The following is a 10,633-nucleotide window of genomic DNA, read 5'->3' as shown; positions in this document are numbered from 1 at the left end:
CCCCCAGGCCTGGCAGCTAGGGGTAGAACTCCCAGGATTGCCCTGCTGATTTTCAAACTGACATATTTACAGTGGTTAATTTCTCATCTTAAAAAATCACAGGATAGACACTAGTACATCAATGTTCAGAGAAGCATTATTCACAATAGGTGAAAAGTAAAAACAACTCAAATGTTCATCGATGATGACTGCGTAGACACAATAGGGTACCTACATACAACAGAATATTATTTAGCCTTGAAAAAGATGAAGCTGTGACATACGCTACAATGGAAATGAACCTTGATCACTTACCACATTGTGCAAGGTAAAATAAGCCAGATACAAAAGGACAAGTACTATATGATTTCACTTATATGAGGTACCTAAAGTAGTCATACCATAGCAAACAGAACGGTGGTTGCCAAGGGCTGAGAGGAGAGAGACACGGGGAGTTATTGTTTAATAGGTAGAGTTTCTTTTTGGGAAGGTGAGTTCTGGAGGTGTATTTCTGGAACAAATACACACACAAAAAACAGGTGCTTTCCTGGATGCATTTACAATCTAGGAAATAACAGGAAACCAACAAAAGTATTTGTAACATAAATAAAATACTCTGAAATCTAATTTTAAAGTTTCATACCAGACACTCCATATTTTTCCCTTATATTTTTACAGAATCAGGTGTGTATAGTAGAAAGAGTATTGGCTTTGGAACTACACTGTTGACTTTTAGTGTTGTACCCTTGAACTTCTCAGCCTCAGTTTACTCACTGCTAGACTGGGGAAAATGGTACTGACCTTTCAGAGTTTCTTTGCAGAGTAAATGAGATAAGGAAAATGCCAAACATAAAAGACTAACACACAGCAAATATTCAGTAAATTCTGGCTTGTTTCCTTTCTCGCCTTTCCCCTTTCACAGTTAATCAAGATTTCAGAAGTGCAGGCATGAGGTTGGAAGGCATAGTGTAGAGGAGTGGGTAGGAACGTGAGTCATGATGAATGCCAGCTGTCAGGAACGGAATCCCAGTGCAGCAATCTGCCAGCTGTGTAACCTCAGGCAGGTTTACCTAATCTCTCACTTTTTGCAGAAATATAATTTAGCCTAGGAAATTATAAATTCACTTTACATTTTAAGTGAAAACAGTATGAAATGGAATTCATCAGAATTTATATGTTTGTAAGGCACACTCCTATGGTAGTATTGCAAAAAAAAGGTACATCTGTATGTGAACTTTCATGTTTAAAAAACACCAACTATGACACAGGGAGGGGAACATCACATACTGGGGCCTGTCGGGGGTGGGGGGACTAGGGGAGGGAGAGCATTAGGAGAAATACCTAATGTAGATGACGGGTTGATGGGTGCAGCAAACCACCATGGCACGTGTATACCTATGTAACAAACCTGCACGTTCTGCACATGTATCCCAGAACTTAAAGTATAATTTAAAAAATTCAACCAACCATGTTAGAGGAAAGATAAAATTATTCTATTCTTTTTAGAGAAAGTGGAAACACAATTGTTGTCATATGAGAAAGCAATAAAAAAAATACAAGCCAAAAAAAGTAGGAAAATATTTTCTGGAGATGTGTTAATAAAAATGTGTGTCCAGATTTTGTAATAATTGTGGTATTTTTCAGCTTTTTATAGATTTCTGCGATTTCTTTTTTATTCCAAATAAACACACACATTTGTACATAGTTCTGTCTTTTTCATTTTATATTCTTTCTCTTAAATTGAGCACCATAGTTGGTTTCTGGAATTGCCTCTTACCATATCTTGTTCAAGTGAGTTAAGAAGGAAGTAGAGGCTGGGGCAGACGGTTCAGGGGTGTAGGAGGCAGGAAGTCCACCTACAGAATCATGTCCTCTTTGTGTAATTGTCCTAAAAACTGTGGTGAAAATAAATATAAGAAGAAAAACAATACCCATAACTGCTTTTTGAAGATCTATTATTATTTTCATATTTTGAGACTTTTTTTGAGATATGAAATGGTTGAACTAATTTACATTCCCACCAACAGTGTAAAAGCATTCCTATTTCTCCACAGCCTCGCCAGCATCTACTGTTTCCTGACTTTTTAATAATCGCCATTCTGGGCTGGCGTGAGATGGTATTTCATTGTGGTTTTGATTTGCATTTCTCTGATGATCAGTGATGTTGAGCCTTTTTTCATATGTTTGTTGGCCACATAAATGTCTTCTTTTGAGAAGTGTCTGTTCATAGGCTTTACCCACTTTTTGATGGGGTTGTTTTTTTCTTGTAAATTTGTTCAAGTTCCTTATAAATTCCGGATATTAAACCTTTGTCAGATGGATAGATTGCAAAAATTTTTTCTTATTCTGTAGGTTGCCTGTTCACTCTCCTGATACTTTCTTTTGCTATGCAGAAGCTCTTTAGTTTAATTAGATCCCATTTGTCAATTTTGGCTTTTGTGACAATTACTTTTGGCATTTTTGTCATGAAGTCTTTGCCCATGCCTATGTCCTGAAGGGTATTGCCTAGGTTTTCTTCTAGGGTTTTTATGGTTTTGGGTTTTATGTTTAAGTCTTTAATCCATCTTGAGTTAATTTTTGTATAAGGTATAACATTTTCTTCTAGGTTTTTTTTTTTTTGCTTGTTTATCTGGCATGTACTTTTTTTTTTGGTTGTTTATATGGCATGTACATTTTATGAAATTGAGGTTAGGCTATTTAAAGTTTTTCATTATGTCTTTTCACCTCATATTATATTATGTTCAAAAGTCTTCAAAATGTGATGTTTCAAAGATATATTCTTTGAAAAATGAATCTATTTTAAGTTGAAAAATTATATCATATTAGACATTTTGATTATTTATATTTCTGCCATATGAAATAAATAATAGGACTTACTGGCTGAAGGGATGTAAGGAAATCTTGTTCAATCATTAGTTGACAATCTGCTTAGTGACTTCCATAGTCACGTATGACAAGGAATACAGGCTGTACAGAATTAGGAAGGTAAACAAGAATCAACAACATCAACATCAACAAACTCTGGGGAAGAGGGAGATCGGATTTGATAGTTGATGCATTATATTATATACAATGTCCGGTCCTCAACAAAAATATCAGATATATGAAAAAATAGAATAGTACATCTGACTCATATACAAGGAAAAAAGCAGTCAATGTTCCCAAGGAAGCCTAAATGTTGACTATATGAGACAAAGACTTAAAATCAATTATTATGAACATGTTCAGAGAACTAAGGCAAACCATCTCAGAAATCAACGCTGAGACACATCATAGTCAAATTCTGAAAAACCAAAGCAAAGGAATCATGAAAGCAAAAGAAACTTAAGATACTTAAGGTATTTTCTCCTTCTTCCAGACAGGAAAATATATATATATATATATATACTGGGAATGCTCAATAATTTCAGTATTTACTGCAAAGTAATGAAATATCCATGTCAAGGCATTGTATGAATAAAAAGCCTTTCCTAAAATTGCCCAGAAATAAATCAATAGGACAGTTTATCAGGATTTTTAGGATCCAATAGACTGCAAGCACAGGAATCCAAGCTGTAGTGGCTTAAAACACAAAAGAAGATTAAGAAGTCAATGTTAACAGGGTTATTTAGCTCATCAGTGGCGTCAAGGCCCCGGATTCTCTCCATTCTGCTTCAATGAGGGCCCTTCCCATTTCAATGCTGGTTGTTTTATGGTCACACATAACTACAAGGCTACTCATACAGCTGCATTCTTAACAGGAAGGAAGAGTCAGAAGTAGGTGGGATCTTTCTTCTGAACTGAGTTCCCCCTTATGTCTGCTGGCCAGAGCAAGGTCACATGACTACCTGTAGCTGCAGAGGGGTCTGGGAGTGTGTGTTTCTAGCAAAGGGAATACAAGAGACATGACATGAGTAGCTTAGACCAGTCATGATTCATCCCTTATAGCTTGGCACATTGTCATCCTGGACAAAGCTTAAGTTCTGTTAGCAAGAAAAAAGGGAGCGGGCTGGTCGCAGTGGCTCATGCCTGTAATCCCAGCACTTTGGGAGGCTGAGGCGGGCAGATCACGAGGTCAAGAGATTGAGACCATCCTGGTGAACATGGTAAAACCTCGTCTCTACTAAAAATACAAAAATTAGCCGGGCATGGTGGCAGGCGCCTGTAGTACCAGCTACTCGGGAGGTTGAGGCAGGAGAATCGCTTAAACCCGGGAGGTGGAGGTTGTAGTGAGCCCAGATTGTGCCACTGCACTCCAGCCTGGTGACAGAGCAAGACTCTGTCTCAAAAGAAAAAAAAAGAAAAAAGGGAACAAGGATGATGGCTGATTAGGTAACTAACAGAGTCCATGACAGATGGGAAATCACCTTTTTGGACATTTTGTTGGACATTAAAAGTAATGGCAAAAGCCACAATTACTTTTGCACCAGACTAATAGTTGAGAGTAAGAATTATCCATTGTATATCTCCCAACTTCATATTTCTTCAGTGCTCAGTAGAATGCTTGTTGAATGGTACCTGCTTTTTAGCTGTAGGCTGGATATATAATGAGTAAATAAAATGCTTGGTCTTTGATAACTTGTACTTTGGGCTGAAAATTACTCAATCCATTGATAGAAATAGAAAATCAGGAGCAGAGTGTCTGTACACTGAAATTTTGTGCCCAGAGAACATTTTTAGTTATAACTGAAGAGAATCTAAAGTACCATATTAACTAATTTTCTAGCTTTTACATAAATAGGAAAGCTCTGAAAGTGTCAAAGGTTTAGTATCCCTTAGCAGTGCTTGAGCCTCAGAGGCAGACGCAAATGGGCTCTTTGCCATCTTCCCACGTAAGCAGGAAGCACTGAGCAAGTGTATGTTTCAAACCTCTTTCCTGGAAATGCTGCTGTAGCAAGACAAAATCTTCAAGAGTAAAAAGGCTGATCAATGAATTGTTTGCAACATTCTTACTGGTGCTGTGCTCAAAAGCAGAGCTTTCCCATAATGGTTTCCTGATGAAGTTGGGAGTGTGTGTTCAGATGCGTCATTCTCTGTGTGTGTGAATTTGAAGCTTGGGACATTGCAGTTGATTTTGTGTGACACGTCTGAATAATGTGCAATGAATTTTTTCTGTTATATAAAATTTGGGATTTTAAAAGACAAGAATTTGAAATTAAATTCTTCAGGAACTGCAGGGGAGTACATTTTCTACAGCAATGTACAATTTAGATAATAAATGTCAGTGTAAAACCCTCATAATCCTATAATCAAGATACTTGCTGCTAACATTTTGGTGAATTTCCTTTACTAGTTCTAATTTAATGTCATTTAAAAGTATAAAATTAATGTACATTCACTGTAAGAAATAAGAGTGGTACCAAAGGTAGAAATCAATTTGCTTCTTCAAACTCCACGGACTACTCTCCAAAGTTAACGCCTGTTAATGCATTATAGCTTATCCTTCCAGGCATTTCAGCATGCTTATTTTTAAAGCTCAGAAAGCATTCACCACCCGTCATCTTATTCCATGAGAAATAGAAGAGTTAGATTGTGCTTTATGTAAAGAGACTCTTCTGAGGGTCCTGATAGATAATGCATTCAACTTGGATATGAAAATCTTTTATTTCCAGCTCAGCTTAAGACTCACTTCTGAAAGTCACTTAAGTTCTTTGTGCTATTTATCCATTTACAAAGTGAATAATGCAAAATTCAATTATTTCATACATATTTATAGCATAACTACAATGTGCTTGGCATAGTGCTGGGTATTTAGAGGGCTGTGCAAAATTTGGTGCTGAGCCAGATTTGTGTATGCAATGCAGAAGAAAGAGCAAAAATTTTTGGACTCTGATTGTTTTAGTTATCTGTTTACATAGCAGATGCCCTTAATACTTAATGACGTCAAACAACAACAATAATCAGGTCATAAACATGTGATTTGGGCAGGGCTTGGAAAGAAGGCTTGTTCTTGCTTCATACAACATCAGTTAAAGCAAGTTGACTTGGGCTGGAGGATGTACTCACAGAATCCTTATAGTCACATGACTGGCAATATGATCCTCGCTGTTGGCTTAGAATTCATGGGGATGAGTGCCTGGACCTTGTTTCCTTTTTGCATGGACTTCCCACATATGTTTCTGTAGCATTGTGGTTGGTTTGCAAGAATGAGCCCAAGAGATAGGATAGCTGCCAGTTTCTTAATTCTTTGGATTGGAAACCGGACAGCGGCATTCCCGCTATATTCTGTTGGTCAGGCAAGCACAGAACCAGGTTCAAGTTCCAGGGACTTAGACCTGCTTCTCAATGGGAAGCATGTTAAAAGAACTTGAAGCTGTACTTCGTAAGTGGATATGTGTGTGTGTGTATTTAATGTAGCATTGTCACCCTTCCTCTGATAAGATAATTTGTCTCTTTATGGGGAATTTGTTCATCTTTACCATCCATTCCATAGAATGCTGGTGGTTTCAATGTTTTCTGTCCACTGACCACAAGGTGGGTATATGATCTCAGTCTGGCCAATGGTAATACCTATACATATGGCCACAGCGATCGATGCTTGGCCCTAGGTAGACACATGCTCCATTAGGCCAATCATATTTCGTCACTGGTACTACTACAAACAGAACAAAAGATAGAACATTCTTCCCTGATTCTTCTAGTATTGCTTTGTGGTGATGGTAAAAGCCACACCCTTGCCACATGAAAGAAGCTTGTCTGAAATAGATGTGGATCTCATATGCCATGTAAATGCTTGTACATAATAGACAACTTCGCTGGGTGTCAATTTCCTCTTTAGTAATACTATCTACTTTGCAGTGTTGTCATAAGGACTAAATGGGACATGGTAGACACTCACTAAATGTATAATTATCATGGAATTATAAATACAGATATAAATCGGTGAAAATATTGAAGTTCCTCAAAACAGAAGTTTCCACATGTTTGAAGTCATATAGCCCTTACCTTTCGGAGGGCATGACAACTTGATCAAAGGAACAGATGTGAATGAATGATGTAAGTTAGCAAAAGTGAACATACACATAAAATGTGCACTGAATTTCATCCAGGGGTACATGTTATAGGATTTCAAATAACAATAGTTATTACAATAATTAGACATTACAAATATAATATTTCATTCTGCATTTATTTTTCTTATCTACAATATGATGAAGAAAGTAAGCTTTACATGCATGCTACAACAATGGTAGCATTTATTTTCTGTAAGCAGCATCCCTTCAAAGACATCTAGGAGACATGCTCTATTAATGAGCATGGAGGAGGAAGTATAATATTAATAGACAAAGATTGGCTTCATAAATGGTATCCTCAGAAAAGTTCCAAATGTAAACATTTCACAAAAATGGGACTGTACCTGCAATTGCAGATACACATGCAATTAAATTATGACTAACTTGTTTTTCTGATTTCTGCATTTTATAAATAAAACCTTAGGGTTTTACCAGTGATAGACTACGTAACTCATCTGTGATAAATTCGTTTCAGTTTTGAAATCATATTACTTAACTGTATATTAATATCTTCCTGAAAGCTGAGTGTACTTTCTTTAAAATGGAAAGTATGTGTCAAGACATAATAAGCTTTGGTGGAATGCAGAAGATACAAGAAGGGCTGAGGTTAATGGCCCATTGGTGAAAATGTCTGTCTTGGAAGAGTTGTGCAATATTTTTTCCTGCCAGAGAGATCTGTCACCCAATTCAGTTTATCTAGTTAAGGAAGCAGGTGTAACAGTTCAGATATTATGCCCAAATTAGGTTTTAAGAAGCCTCAATTGGCTCTTGCATTATCTGAGTGGACTGCCCAATGTTATTCTTCTAGGCCTCTACTTTTCCTCCCAAACCACAGGGTTGTCATATTGGGTCCTTAGATTTGAGCCAAGATGAAAAATACACACCCAAACACACCCAAAATGAAGAACTAATATTACATTTGTAAAACAGCTTATTGTCAATAAAATTTTCTCAACATTAACTTAAGCTATGAAAGATGGTGTTGATGAAGTAAACTTTCTTGACATCTGTCCCAGGGTATGTAAAATAGTATAATAGACAGAATATCTGATTACCAAGGGTGTTTCCATTTTCCGACTCTTTTCGATGTTTATTTTCAGACAAAAAATACGTTGTTGCTGATTTTGCTACATTAAACACTGTATTATCAGAATTCCATTTTCATATTTGCTACTGTTACTGGCATATACATTTGTTTTTGCCTTAGGTTCAGTAATATCAATGTCACTTTGAAAAAGGCACCAATATGGCAGTGTCTGCTGATGCAAAACCAATAAAATCTACTGACTTTATGTAAGCATAAGGAAATAACTTGATTAGAATACCTGATGCTATATTCGAGGCTAACCAAGTAATCTGAATGTCCTCTGTTGATTCGCACTGCAGAAGCCACCCATTACACCAGATTAAAACAATATTTGACATCGTTTAAAGCAGGGATGAATACACTACCCCTCCATTATTTCATTAGAAACTATTTTTAAAGCAGCTTTAACTTACTGAATATAACATTATAAAATTGAATATAAAACTGGAAGATTTCTAACAGTATCAGGCTCTGTGTACTTTCCTCCCCCTTTTATTATTTTTATATATTATGGGGACAGAAAAGCTGTACAATCTGCATGGTGGAGAAGCTGGAGTCAGCTTGGCATTAAACAAATACCCACAGATCATCTTCCAAGTTACCTTTCAACTTTCTCCCAATGCTAAAGTTGAACCAGCAGTGTTCCCAAACAAATATATCTTAACCACAATTTAAAGACAGTTTTAAAGGAAACAATCTTTCTGGCAGGTATAAATCATTCCTGCTTAATCGCTACCTTCCACAGAGTGGGTTTTCAGAACAGTTTCTGTTGCTCACAGCACCGCTGGAGGAGATAGAAGGTACAAGCAAAGGATTATTAAACACCTGCTGCAGTGGAACTCCACATCATCCTCACACCTGCCAAAGCAGCTGGCTCCCTGCTTGGGGACAAAGACACAAAGAGCCCACTTTAATGAGTTACCTCTTTGAGTCTGAAGAAAATTTTGTATATTGGAAAAAAAACTCACAAAGGTCTTAAGCAAAACTGTAATATCTATAGATGGGATATAGCTTGGTAGATATTAGCAATGATTACAGTGGCATAATGATGACTTTCATTTTTTTTCTATTTCCATGAGCGTTTTATATTTTTGACAACAAATATCAATGTATTTTGTAATCACAAAAGCTATTTAAAAATGTATGCTTTATCCAAGCTCTCATATTTACTTTTTATTTTTGTTTTCTTTTTAAAGTCAGGAAGAAACTTTATTCTTGAAGATAGCAGTTTCAAGTGTCACGGCATTCATTTAATTTGCAAATACTTAATATTCAGGCATCATGAAAATACTTGTTAATATAGAGCATTTTGTTTGTTTGTTTGTTTGTTGTTTTTTGGACAGAGTCTCACTCTGTTGTCCAGGCTGGAGTGCAGTGGCTCACTGCACAACCTCCACCTCCTGGGTTCAAGCGATTCTACTGCCTCAGCCTCCCAAGCAACTGGGATTACAGGCATGCACCACCATGCCTGGCTAATTTTTGTATTTTTAGTAGAGACAAGGTTTTGCCATGTTGGCCAGGCTGCTAGTCTCTAACTCCTGACCTCTGGTGATCCGGTCCCCTGGGCCTCCCAAAGTTCTGCAATTACAGGCGTGAGCCACTGCGCCTGGCTGGTTAATATAGAGCTTAATCAAACACAGGTCTTTTTCTGCAAAAGCTTGCTATGGAGTAGATAGCTCACGTACGCAAATAGCTTGCCAAATGAAGTGGGACGTGGGGAATACCACATGAAGGGAGCAGGTAAGTCTCTAAATGTTCCCAAACAGAAGGAATACTGAATACAGCATCTCATATTTAAAAGGATTGTAGAATAGCAACTCATATTTCAGTATTTGGTGATAATTTATTTTCTGGAGTCTTGTTTTTGAGATAGAAGTCCACAAAAGCATCTCCAAAGCATTTTCTCTCATGAGAACCATTCTTACCCCAAATTTGGGAGGAGACAGAAACTACTTAAGCATCTCTCTGGCAGTCTTGGAATATTCCCAGTTATGCGGTGCTGTTTCTTTTCCTTTTTTTGTTTTTTGAGACAGAGTCTCACTCTGTCGCCCAGGCTGGAATGCAGTGGCGTCATCTCGGCTCACTGCAACCTCTGCCTCCTGCATTCAAGCAATTCTCCTGCCTCAGCCTCCTGGGTAGCTGGGATTACAGGAGCCTGCCACCACGCCCAGTTAACTTTTTGTATTTTTAGTAGAGACGGGGTTTTGCCATATTGGCTAGGCTGGTCTTGAACTCCTGACCTCGGGTGATCCAGCCACCTCAGCTTTCCAAAGTGCTTGGATTATAGCCGTGAGCCACCATGCCCGGCGTGGTGCTGTTTCAGATTGGTTCCAAGGTAAGACAATTTTCAGATCTCTGTGGGGAAACAGGTGGGCCACCTGAAGTCACAGGCCTGATGGAAAAAACGTAAACCTAGCAGGAGGAATGTTCACTAAAAGCAGATAATAAATCACTCAACTGGTAAAAACAGACTCAACTGGGTCTAAGAGCCATTCATTACTTTGATCTATTCCTCAGCTGCTTAATTTACTTTTGGGGTCAGTTCTGGCTCTGTGGGTCTTGGAACTAAAAAAAT

The 10,633-nt window shown here is 37.6% G+C and overlaps 2 annotated features.

Moving 5' to 3' along the window:
- Nucleotides 787-956: an enhancer, noted in NCBI's record as "experimental_45056 CRE fragment used in MPRA reporter constructs". NCBI's record gives its function as "activates a minimal promoter by MPRAs in K562 erythroleukemia cells, with activity observed for the introgressed 16:77151891 variant allele {active_cell/tissue: K562}" and the evidence as "EXISTENCE:reporter gene assay evidence [ECO:0000049][PMID:34662402]".
- Nucleotides 10,126-10,295: an enhancer, noted in NCBI's record as "experimental_44984 CRE fragment used in MPRA reporter constructs". NCBI's record gives its function as "activates a minimal promoter by MPRAs in K562 erythroleukemia cells, with activity observed for both the introgressed and non-introgressed 16:77142552 variant alleles {active_cell/tissue: K562}" and the evidence as "EXISTENCE:reporter gene assay evidence [ECO:0000049][PMID:34662402]".

Source organism: Homo sapiens, chromosome 16, assembly GCF_000001405.40.
Source record: "Homo sapiens chromosome 16, GRCh38.p14 Primary Assembly".
NCBI lineage: Eukaryota > Metazoa > Chordata > Mammalia > Primates > Hominidae > Homo > Homo sapiens.
The sequence above is the reverse complement of the archived record's forward strand: the minus strand, read 5'-3'. Positions and strand labels throughout refer to the sequence as shown.